Source organism: Homo sapiens, chromosome 10, assembly GCF_000001405.40.
Source record: "Homo sapiens chromosome 10, GRCh38.p14 Primary Assembly".
Lineage (NCBI taxonomy): Eukaryota > Metazoa > Chordata > Mammalia > Primates > Hominidae > Homo > Homo sapiens.
The window spans coordinates 85,532,582-85,545,580 of NC_000010.11; the positions used below are offsets into that span (position 1 = coordinate 85,532,582).

General features: G+C 39.7%; 1 long non-coding RNA gene and 1 pseudogene across 1 annotated transcript in view; one reads left to right on the forward strand and one right to left on the reverse strand.

Moving 5' to 3' along the window:
• Positions 1 to 4,497: 4,497 nt before the first annotated feature.
• LOC105378404 (uncharacterized) overlaps positions 4,498 to 12,999 on the reverse strand; it is a 46,329-nt gene continuing 37,827 nt past the window's right edge. Inside the window, exons 5-6 of the long non-coding RNA XR_946157.3 lie at positions 7,573 to 7,646; positions 4,498 to 4,821 (exon numbers count right to left, since the gene is read on the reverse strand). This is a non-coding gene — a long non-coding RNA (uncharacterized LOC105378404). The remainder of the gene's footprint in view (positions 4,822 to 7,572; positions 7,647 to 12,999) is intronic.
• On the forward strand, positions 4,798 to 4,902 carry RNU6-325P (RNA, U6 small nuclear 325, pseudogene; annotated as a pseudogene).

Genomic DNA, 12,999 nt, shown 5'->3' on the forward strand with positions numbered 1-12,999 from the left:
GAAAGAGATCTAAACTAACCAACTCCATCTTGCTTCTAACCTTTAAGCTGTCCTTCTTCATTCCTGTGCATAGACTGAACTAACTTTGGGAGGAACTTAGTTTATAGTTTAAAACAAAGACAATAATAGCCATTTCCAAAATCAAGCTGCCTTCTTGCCTAGGGACTAGGTTGCCTTTATAGGACTAACAAATTAGGCACAAGATTAGAAGTGATGGTTTAAGAGCCACACAGCTGGAAGCTACAAGATTCTGACCCTCTCTAAGCTGCTCCTAAGCTCAGTGCTTAGGATATTTTGCTCACCCTGCATTTGATGGATAAGCTGTCACCACCCAGATCAATAAAATGGCTCAACTGATCTTGTGGCCCCCACTCAGGAACTGACTCAGTGCAAGAGGACAGCTTCAGTTCCCTATGATTTCATCTCCTACCTGACCAGCCAGTGCTCCTGACTCATGGACTTCCCCTCACCCACCAAGTTGTCCTTAAAAACTGATAGCTGAATGCTCAGGGAGACTGATTTGAGTAATAATAAAACTCTGTTCTCCCACACAGCCAGCTCTGTGTGACTTACTCTTTATTGCAATCCCCTTCTTGATAAATTGGCTCTTTCTAGGCAGTGGGCAAGGTGAACCCGTTGGGCAGTTACAGTATTTTTTCCTGGCCTCCCTCACACCCCTGACTTTTTCTGTGATTCTTTTTATTTGGTCGGCCTCAGGCTGACCTGGTATCTTCTAGAGTTCCATAATCTACTCTCCAACAGAGGTGGTAAACTCAAACGCCTTGAGGGCAGGAAAGGAAGATGAATGTGTTAAAGGAGCAGAGTGGAATAGGGAGTGGTCTGGAGTAGGAAAAACTGAACCTTGTATGTTCTGCTAAAAAGGTTTCAGGTTTCTTTTACTGAAATCATCGTCCAGGCCAGATTTATCCACTTCCAATGTCTGGCCACTGTGCCCTCCAAATGTCCATCGCCAGTGTTTGAGTCAAGATCCTACCTGTCTCAAAAAGGAAGCCATGTTTGGATTTCTGCCAAGGTTAGTGAGGTCCTAGGGGCCAGAAAGTTCATCAGGACCTGAAATGCAGTCATTTGTCTGACCCTTCTCCACTTTATTGGCCCTTGGGCTGTACTATTTCAGGTCCCATCCAGACTTTTTCTTGACCTCAGCTGGGTTTCCTGGGCTTGTCTGGGTTTTCTGGCAATGTCTGGGGATCAAGGAAAACCTAGTCCCAAAGTCACATGCATGAACCACGTGTGGCAGATGTCTGCAGTGTTTCCCATCACATCCTGTGGCCTGTCTCTCATTTTGGGCCAACCACAGTGGTTAGCTTCATGCAAGCTTATCCTTACCCTACAGGGACAATGCCTAACTTCAAGCAGGAGCCGGCATCTGTCAGCTTTGCTTCTCTGCCAGCACCTTGTTGGGCACCATGGTTATCTGCCCAGCCCTTGTGTGAGCACAGCCTGAAGCACCTAGGAATTAGATGGACCTTTCTGTCTCTATCTTATGCTTTGTTCTCACACATCAGTCAGCCACATCTGAGCTTCCCAATCTGTCCCTTAGAATATCACACTCAAACGCATATGCTCTGTCCTTCACTTCTTCCCTATCCACCTGGATGATTCCTGTGTATTTTTCACACCTCCACTCATGCTTTGACTCCTTTGAAGAGCCTTTCATCATTCCCCTACCCACTTCTATCTCTGTTAGGTCCTTCCTCTGTGTTTACATTTCTTTTCTGAATTTTGCCAACATAGAAGTACTTATCATTTTTTCTTATAATTGTAGAGGAGAAAACATAATTTATTTCCTTTCTTAAGTTCTAGTTTTGGTTACCACATACTAGTCAGAATTTTAATTCTTAACCTTAATTCATAGTGAAAATCTAAGCAGTAAACAATTTTTAACTCAGTCACATACTAACAATTTGTGAATACATATTTTATAATTCTCAGAAACATAAGCTTTCTAATGGAGTCATTTTTCAGTGGAACAGGACGTACTTACTAATAGGTCTAGATATCTTTTGTTTCTCTGAAATAAGAAGCCTAAAGTAAAAAAGTTTACACTCATTTTTAGTAATATCTTAGCAATATATCTTATTTGGAAATGATCTAGATAGTCAATGAATATCAATTATTTAATTTAGCTTAGCAAAAAACTCTAAGGGTATAGTTACTAAAAGATTTGAGAGACTTTTTAAAGTAAACATTAAAAAATTATAATTATTTTTAAAATTTTACTTATAAACTTTTATTTAAATCTATTTTATTTAATTTTAACAATTATGTTTGGAAAATTTTATGAGACTTTAGGCAACTCTGATCATCATCTCAAGTTAAATTTTCTATTAATCATTTTTGTTTTATTATATGTTAGATTAGGCAAGTATCAGAAAAGCAAGAACCTGAAAGCTAAACATATGAATATTTTGCTGATAAACTCAGAAGACATAGTTATTTTTATTAAACCAATAATATTAAACTAGTCTTATTTACCCTTATTTACCCCAAATGATTTACTCAAGTCACATGAACTGGAAAAATATTTGGGCTTATTTATTTAATTTATGAGCACTCATTTATCTTTAAGTTAATTTGGTATCATGTAGAAAATATACAAACATATGTATAGACATATACATACATGTAGATACAACATACAACCTACAAATGTACACATGCATGCATATAAAAGCCAGATAAATCACAGAGTTCAATGTAAAAGAATATAAAGCTTTACAGCTGACAGGAACCTGTCCATTCACAACTCTTGGGGTTCCGGGAGGAAAAACAGAGGTTCCTCCCCAAAAGAGGAGCCTGTGGTGCCTTTTCTGTTTTCCTCCCAGGATCCCAGCGCTGTTAGAAATCTTTTTTAGGTCTACAGTATTGCAATCTTTCCTCTTGCAACATTGTGGGTGGCACGAGGAAAGAAGGACAGACAGAAGTAAATGGAAGAACAAGTCTTAGAGGCAAAAATTACATCAACAAGAGGAGAAACAGACAGAAGAAGTGCATATAGTTGTCATAGAGAAGAAGGGTGTCTTAAAAATATATGCATATACATATAGCCTAAATATCAGCTTTTAATTAAGGTGACTTTTGACTATAGAGCTCTTAAAATCTTTTTATCAAATTTTAGCTGGGCAAATAGCAAACATTGCTGTTTCTTGCCTTTTCCTTTCTTAAATTTACATAAAGAAAGAGTCTTGGAGGTGGGGTATATTTGTTTATTAGAGGTCTAGTGCAATCACTGTTTAAAACTCTTTGTCTTTAAAACGTTTTAATAAACTGTTTCTTTTGTTTTTCTAAGTATGTGGTTCCATTGAGCTTAGGAAAGAAGACTAAAAAAAACAAACAAAAAAGTTCCTATTATGCTCTAAATGTAAGCCAAAATTTAAATCAAAGGTATACCTTGATTGTTTAAAATGAGTAATTTTAGAAATGTTTCTCTCCTGAGCTAAAGGTACCCACTGAGGAAAGGAATTTTGTGGTTGGTTCAAAGCACTTTAACTCTATTTCAAATCCTATCTCAGTTGGAATGCTGCTTATCTAATTCCCTAGACATTTCAAAGTCATGGTTAAGATTTACATCTCCTGGAGACTAAGAAGAATCCCTTAAAAAAAATACTTCTAGATACAAAAGTCCCAATTTCCAAAGTAAACCTACTATAATTGTTACTTAAAATCAGTAAGTCTTTTTATGGCTTATAACCAGACACAAAAATTACATCCCCAAAGAGGATGCAAAAATGCAATCCCCTTCAAGATCTGAAGTTTTTCCAAAGATGGCCTAAGAAAGTAAAGGCCTTTATTATTAGCAAGGCAATGAAGGTTGAGACAATTAAGACAAATCCTGAGAGCCAGCACATTTAGACAAACAGACATTTTGGGCCCAGTGGGACTCCCAGCTGGCTACCTGACATAAGCCAGACAATTTATGCCCTCAAGGTGGCACAGACCACAGAAAAAATTTGCTGCTTACAAAGCCAAGCTTCCCAAGAAATAAAACAAGATGAAAGAAGAATCTTGCTGTGATCCTCCTATGACAAACCACTCAGAAAGTCAGAGACGAGGAAAACAAAGATCATCCTTACAAAACTAAAGATCAATAACCAAATAGGTACTTAAACAAATCTACAAGAGTCACAGATTCAAAGAATTAATTTTATTATTATTTGTAAATGTTTTCCTCCTATCAATCTGAACCTGGAAAGGGAAGGATGAGGAAAATTTTTTACCTTCTTTCTTGGCCAGGTACAACAGATAGAGACCTGAGAGAAGCTGACCTTGGTGAGAAATCTTACTCTTTGCTGCTGCAACTGCCAGGTCTCCCAGGATTTCACCTATAGGTCCTGCAGCAGTCAGGGTGTCTCTGTGGCCCCATCTTGGGTGCCAAATTGTAAAGGAGGAAACATAATTTCTGTCCTTTCCCTTTTTAGATTCTTAAAGAGATGCTGTTGAGACACTCTCCTGAAAACAAAAGTCAGATTAAACAAGTGAGGAAAACAAGCAGAAGTTTATTAACACGTGCTGTACCCATGATGCTCCTGATGAGACCTTTCCTAAGGTCTCAGTTCAAAAGTATTTCTTTCTCAAGGCAGTGGCTTAGGGTCCTTGCTTAAATAATATTTTAACAAACAGCCATAAATCCTACATAGTGACAAGAAAAAGAAGAAAGCATCTTCAGGCTTCCAAAAGGTGGGAAAATATGGGAAGGTAAATTGATGGGGAGAGTGAAATCTGCTCCTAGATCCTCTGGTGCCATTGTCTATGGGCTCTGTCTCTGAGTGTGTTGTTGTGTTCTCTTCGGCAGCACAAGTACTAAAATTGGAACAATACAGAGAAGGTTAGTATGGCCCTTGTGCAAGGATAACACAAAATAAAAAAGCAATAAAGAAGTAAAAGTCTAGTTTAAATTTAAAAAATATATGTATTTTTTTTAAAAAAGAAAGTGTGTTGTAAAGGAGCTTGTCCTTAGGTGGGAAAAGCAGAGAGGAGGGGCAGAGTCTACCTCTGTGTTTTAAACTTTTAACTTTAATTAAAATCCCCAGCATGTTAGAGAGGCATATTTTGCTTATAATTCCTCTTTCTCTCACACATGTATTGAAGGCTCTGTAAAGGATGGAAGACTTGTCAATCATCTCTGTGTTTGCATTCACAGTGTGTGACAAACAACTGGAACTGAGTAAATATTTGTTGGATGAATAAGTGAACACATGAATGTGTGGTTTACAGTATGCTCAGTATCCTACTGGCACCAAATATAACCTTTTGCATAAGACCAGTATCAAAATTAGTAAATACTTCATGGGAATTTATTTGCCACATAGAAATCATTTAATAAATGCCAAACCCTTATTTGAACTACAAAAAGAAAAAAAAAATCACTCAAGAGGGTGAGGGAAATGAATATAAATTTAACAAACCTGACCATAAGGGTTTTAATTATTTAATGATTTAATGAGTCCGAGAGTGGGTGAGTGCATGACTGATTGCTTCATAGAACCCATGGGGTTATGAGAAAGGACCAGAGTTAGCTACAGACCAATACTGTTAATTTGAGAAATACTTAGGGGGTGCCTACCTAATGCCAGGTGAAGTATATAGTAAGACGGAGCTTATGATGAATAGCTCAGTATTCACCAAGCTGTAATTACTTTGGAACGTAAAAGAATGTTTACCTGGTTTGAATAAAATTTAAAACTTTAAATAGTATCCTAAAGGGTAAAATTAGAATTTAGGGCAATTGGAGATCCTAGCAATGTATGTTCTCTACTTCCACCTTAGGTTTTGATTGAAGACACGCTACTCGCACCTAATGTCTCTCTGGATCAATTGAATCCTAAGTCTAACCATTAAGGATAACTATGAAAACTAATTATTAGGACCAATATCAATTTTATTAATGTATATAGGAGGAGAGGGTATCAAAGCACTTAGGAATCTTTTAGCCAAAATCTTGAATTTGTTGCAGCCCAGTCTGAGCCCTAAGGTCCCTGTGACAAAGGTAGAATTGCTCTTGCTCTAACGTTGATTTTGTTACTTCTCATCACTGGTCCACCTTTGCAGATGTCTGGAGAGCCAGCTTTATAACAGAAATGTCATGAGCTTTGGAACCAAACTGAGTCTGCCCTTTATTTAAATGTTTCATAAACTTGAACAAATTGGCTCTAATCTTGGAACCTTGGTTTATTTACCTGAAACGTCAGGGAAAATTGTACCTCGTGCAGAATTTAATGAGGTCATAGTCAAGTAGGCCTGGCATGGTCCTGAAAGCAGAGGACTGACAAAGGGTCCCCCTTTTCTCTTCCTCAGAATCAAGAGCCTTGCTGTTAGGATTTTTCACCTTAACTCCTGAGTTTCTTGATACTTCTCCCTCTCTGCTCCCCTGGTCAAAAGTTCAATGTTAGTAATCATTAAGAGGCAAAGTAGTTGGGAGAAAAGAACCCAAAGGCAAGAATTCCTTGTCTCTTCTTTGTACTTCTAAGGTCTCCTGAGCTGCAGTTTCCTACCTGAGCTAAATGTGGCTTGAAAGGATGTTGGGTGTAGATTCTGGAATTTTCATGTCCGGTTATGTAAAATGAAAAAATCTGAAATGGATGTGGAAATGTCCATTTGCTATTATTATAATCTCACACTTTATCTTCATTTCTGATTGCTATTTAGTCAGCAATAGCTTAGAACATTTCAGCTTTCAGTATCTTCCTCTGTTAAGCAAGTAATGATCTGTAAACAAACACTGCACTAAGTGCTCTTTAAAGGGAACTTTTCACTCTTTTGTGATGTAAAGAATCTTTTATGGCACAAATGAGTACACCTTCTAATTTAGTTTTTAAAAGTAGGATATTTGGGGACTCCATTTACCTATTCTATTTAGAACTTAATTAAAAGTGAAAGAATGTGTATTACTTTTCTTCTGTTAGTGTAAAAAATTACTAGAGGTTGGCTGGGCATGGTGGCTCATGCCTGTAATCCCAACACTTAGGGAGGCCAAGGCGGGCGGATCATCTGAGGTCGGGAGTTTGAGACCAGCCTGACCAACATGGAGAAACCCTATTTCTACTAAAAATACAAAATTAGCCGGGCATGGTGGTGCAGGCCTGTAATTCCAGCTACTCAGGAGGCTGAGGCAGGAGAATCACTTGAACCTGGGAGGCAGAGGTTGCGGTGAGTCGAGATCATGCCACTGCACTCCAGCCTGGGCAACAAGAATGAAACTCAGTCTAAATAAATAAATAAAGTAATTAATTAAAAATAAAAAATAAATTGCTAGAGGTTTAGCAGGACACAACTTATTTTCCTTATCTCACACTTTTATGAGTCAGAAGTCCAGTTCAGGAGGGCTCTACTAGGTTCTATACTCAGAGTCTCACAGGACAGAAACCAAGATGTGAGCAAGCTGGGCCCTTTTGTGGAGGCTCTGGGAGATAAATAGTTTTTAGTCTTATTCAGGGTGTTGGTATAATTTAGCTCCTGTGGTGATGGGACTGAGGTCCTCCTTTCCCTGTTGGCTGGCAGCTGGGGCCACTCTGTGCCCCTAGACACTGCCCACATTCCTTCTCATATGCTCACCTCCATCTTCATACCAGCAACAGTGCTTTGAGGTCTTTCTTTTTACATCTAACGTTGCCTTCTGCTTTCTACTCCTGTTAAAGAAAAAATTATTCAATGCCACTTATTAAAGCACATTAATGCAGACTTTATTCGGGGCCATCGCAACAGATATGGGGACTGCAGCAATGAGTTTTCTAACGAAGAGAGATTGGACTCATCTTTGAATACAACATGGGCAAGCGGGAATTTATAGCCAGAGAGCAGGGTGGGAACAGTGGATGAAAAATTATGAACAGGAAACATCAGGGGTAAGGGAAATTCTGGATGAACTGACCTAACAAGATTCTTGCTGAAGACAGTCCAGGATGTTCAGACATCACCTGGGAGATGGTGGAGGATGAGGAGTCCAGTCAGATATCGAGGGTGAGGAGTTCTTGCTAAATTCACTAAGCAGGGTTCTTGCTAAAAGTGGATTTTATAAGGAAGTGCATAGATGGGCCTGGGAGAAGATTCAAGAGACTGACTAATGTTTGGTCAAGCAAAGAAACTCTGTCACACCAGAGAAAGCTTTGTGCATTTCAGGACTTATGGTTAGATTGGGTCAACCCAAATAATCTCCCTTTTTCAAGATCACCTGTACTATATAACATAACAGAGCCATGGCAATAATATCTTTTCATAGTCACAGGTTCCAGCATGGAATCTTGAGTGCCATTTTTAGAAATTCTGTCCACCACAGGTACATCTCTACAGAAAAATAGTTTTCCGCTCTGTCTCCTCCTTCACGTACCATTCTCCTGAGCGTTCTTCAGAAGGATACTGATATCCCTAGGCAAGGAATCCTGGGAAGTTGAATAAAAGTAGACAAAGTAACAGAAGCAGAGGAGACATCAGATAAAAACTGGGATTTCTCAGCAATTTTCTTGAGTTAACATCATTGAAAAATAGGAGCTTCTGAGGTTGAACCAAACCCAAGTTCTGAAGTATCTCACTAAGACTGAAGAGGAATGTATACCAACTCATAGTTTCCTTGAATTAGACAGAATAATTTCACTGAGCTGCTAGATTATATAATAAAGTCTGCCAAGCCCCATTTGATTAGAGTGAGCACTCACCATTTGTCCATGGACTGTTAGATTGATAAGTGATACCAAACCAGGCTTATTCTGCCCACACACAGCAAGCCAATCACTGATATGAGTTTTACAAAAGGGAGTTTATTCATGAGGCAGCCAAGTGAGGAAATGGGAGAACATGTCTCCAGTACATCTCCCTGAAGATGGGGTTTTAGCGATATTTATGGGATAGAGGATTAAGGTGGTCCAGGCATGGGGAAAAGTGATTGGCAGTGGGGAAAGATGATGTAATCGATGGTCTTTGCAAGTGTAGCTGGGGGTCATGACTCTTCATAGGACGCATGTTCATTAGCATGATCTGAGGAAGGAGTTTTGTCCCTCTAATGCCAAAAGATAACCTTTTAGGCATTTCTGCAGGCCCAGTTGAAGGGTCGGTGGTCTCAATCAGTTGAAACCAGACAAGAGCTGTCCCCCAGCTCCCAAAAAACAAGTTAAAGCAACCGTTACCATAGTGACATACACATCAGATATATTATCTGTAAGGAAGCTAGTGAGAGTTGAGTTACGTATTGTTTGGCTACATGACTTTTAGCTATAAGGGTTTAAGATCAACTAGAAGTAAGCAGTTAAAAGCAAGCAAGGCAGGTTAATTTTGGCTAGCTTAATCAGGTCAGCCTTCAGTTTCACAAGGACAAGAGTACACAGTTATTGAGAAGACTGATAGGCAAGAAAGTTCTTAATTAAAACAAGATGTTAATTTCTTTATAGATTGATTTATATTTTTTCTTAATTACCCATTTATATTAAACTATATAACACAGTTTGTCATAGCTAAAGGTGAAAAAATTCATTAAAATCTTCCATGTGCTGTGGGCAAACAATACCTTCACAAAACACAGGATGAAAAGTATCTAGGCCATCATTCCTGACTGTACTCATTCATTTTTCAGTAAGTGCTGAGCACTTACCATGTGTCAGACACTGATGTGGGTATGAGAGAGACAGCAAAGAACAGAATGTGCCCAGATCCTGTCTTCACGAGATTTACATTCCAGGGCCCTGAAAAGTGCGCTGCTGCACAGGTGCTCCTGGGCATGAGAAGCAAAGCTGCTTCCTGCAGAATAGTGACTCTGCAAGAGCAGAGCCCAAGGCAGACACCCATCTCATGCCTGAGATCATGTGTCAGGGCCAGAGCTTGGTCAGAGTGAAGATTAAAAACGAGCTACTATCCCTGGTATACGTAAGAAGTGATTTATTGGCCTCCTGCAAATTCCAGAGTCCACCCGAGCCTGTTCTGGGAAAGTGGATACGTTCAAACAGGAAGACTTAACCTAGAGACTCCAAGGTTTATCTAGGGGATATAGGCACTCCATATCATTTAAAATATGTAACAAAATTTTTCTTTCATAGGACTTTGGGTAAGATAGTGCAATTTGAGCACAGGGTTTAACTGCCTTTCTCTCTATTAATTCCATTGGAAAGATTGATAGGTAATAAAAACAGGGGAAATTTTCATCAGGCCTGTGTTTCTATCAAAAGTGAAAAAAATAAACTGAGGGATTTCTAAATTATACCTTATTTCCATCCAGGGGGAAATAAAGAGGCATGACTGAACCTCCAGAGGGGCATCAATAGGCTGATAAGGCATAGTCAAAAAGAGCATTTGTTCATATACAAACCTCACAGTGAGTTTGGAATAGCTTCCTGGCTGATTGGGATTTGCAGATGCCCAGAGAATGTACTGATGAAGGAACAGTTGTGAAGTGCCATTGTGAGCAGAGCCCAGGAGGGAGAAGAATAAAGAAAGCCCCTGCCCCCAGGAAGAAAGCACATTTGCTCTTCTGAGACTGGAGTATGTCCCCAAGAGGGAGGTTAAAAAAAAAAACCTCTCCATAGTTACCGCAATAGAAAGGGCAAGGACAGGAGGCAACATCAGCCTCGGGCAGCTCTTTTTCTTCTTGACATGGGCAGCCAGTATTTAAAAACAACTGCACTAAGTTCCCTCAGGCTCATGAGCTTGGAGAAAGCAGCCAGTGCAGCCAGCCCAGACTCGTCCTTGATATAGTTAATGGCAACAGAAGCTATCACCCAGCACACACTGCATATATCTCGTTTTTGTCCCATTTAACAGATTATAAAACTGAAGCACACACACACAAAAACTTCCCTGTAGTACAAAGTTACAGAGCTAGGATTCTAAACACAACAATTAGATAAGGTATCATTTAGAAATCCCTAATAGTGAGTTATAGAGCTAGGATTCTAAACAGAGCAATTAGACTGCAGAGGCCAAATTCTTACTGATTATATCATATTACCTCTTTCAGGAAGAATGTTGGGCAATGCTATGACTTTTAGCCAGGTACAAGCAGAAGTGATTGAACAAAGCTGGCTGCATGCTACTCCCCAGTCGAAGATAATGAAGGGGAATATGTTACCCCAAAATATTCCACTTTGGTTTATGGATAATTTTGAGCTGAAGGCAATTGCGAATCAACAGATGCAGAAGGAAGCCTTCTTGGAGCTTCCCTTATCTGACTAAAAGCAGAAACTTCTGAGAAATGAGGACCACCATAAATCCTTTCTCCAGGGAAGTTTTATGGTCACGAAAAAGATGGAAAGTCAGCACCAAGATGAGTCTGCCCAAACCTCCCTAAAATAACACTTATCTTCTGTTAGTTCTGTCATATATTTACCTTCACATAATTTACTGCCCCTAAAAGCCCAAAACTCCCCTTTCCTTTATGTAGTCACTTCCCCACAATTTTTCACCTTTTGTTTAAATGGTATATAACTTTACAATTCTACCCAATACTTTGGGTTTTCCTTGCTTGTTGCTGTTTTGCTGTTTTTGTAAAACCCTATACTTGTAAAAATATTAACATCAATAATATTTGTATGTTTTTTCTCCTGTTAATTTGTCTTTTGTCAGCTTAATTTGCATACCCCAACCACTAAACCCAAGAGAGTAGAGGAAAAGGGGAAAGTGTTTATTTTTTTCTCCGCTACAATAGGAAGAATCACGGAGATGATACAATCCTGAAAGAATTTCACAAGGTGGTAGCTTCCTCCCCATTCTTCTCGAGCTGAAAAATTACAAAAACATACCTTTCCTTGCCCCCTTGTGTGAACTGCAAGGATTTGGTTAGAGATCATCATAATTTTCTTTTCTTTTTTTTGAGATGGGGTCTTGCTTTGTTGCCCAAGCTGGAGTGCAATGGCACGATCTCAGCGCACTGCAACCTCTGCCTCCCAGTTTCAAACCATTCTGCTGCCTCAGCCTCCCAAGTAGCTGGGACTACAGGCATGTGCCACCATGCCTGGCTAATTTTTGTATTTTTATTAGAGACGGGGTTTCACCATGTTGTCTGGGCTGGTCCTGAACTACTGACCTCAGGTGATCTGCCCATCTCGGCCTCTCAAATATCATAATTTTCTAATGGATTTCATATTAGTTACCATTTTGCTGACAGACAATACCAGCTAATTTCAGAATTTGGGCTCTAATGGTGAGCAAACCTAGGGAAATCGCACTTCTTGGGAAGATAGTACTGGAGAGTTAAGAAGAGAATCTCTGCCTGTGTCTGGTGTTTTAAACAAGGGAAGTGGCAATCCCAGATGGGGAGGAGAGTGTTCACCAAGGGTCATACTCACTTGATCACGGCAGTGTGTTTTCTGATGCCACCTGGGAGGGCACTGGCAAATGGAAATGTGGAGGGATATATGGGATCTAAACTTTAATCATGAGGGTGAGACAAACACATCTGGTCTCCATTGCCCAAGGAGGAAACAGAATGGATAGAGACAAGAATGCAGGGGCAATGACCCTTCCTGGCTCTCAAAAGCAAGGTATCCGCAGCCAAGCTGTTTCTGGGATAAAAGGAGAGATCAGAACTGAACCACCCCTGGGTTCAAGTGCCTGCTTCCTGTTTATTGCAAGAGTAAACTACAGCAGTTGCTGAGTCACAGACTATTCCGTCACATGGAGATTATTGTTACCTATCTACTGCATTGGTAGAATTTCATAGGAATAAAATGTAATGGGTATGTCAGCCTGGCAAGTGCTCGTCATGGACACACAGACTCATTCTTATGCTCACCTATCCCTGTTTATTCTCCACACATTAGCACAACACCTAATGTAAACTTTTAAAATCATGAACAGATTAATGCAGTTTCCCCATTTCAACCCTTCAATGACTTGCTATCACCCAGAGAACAAATTCACCCTTTTCCCCACAGTCTACATGGTCTGCCCATGGCTGATGTTCCAACCTCATCTTTAGCACCCACCCCCCACCCCCGCTTTGTCTCCTGGGCTTCAGTCCCACTAATGGATCACTGCCACTTCACTTGCCAAGAGTAAGCA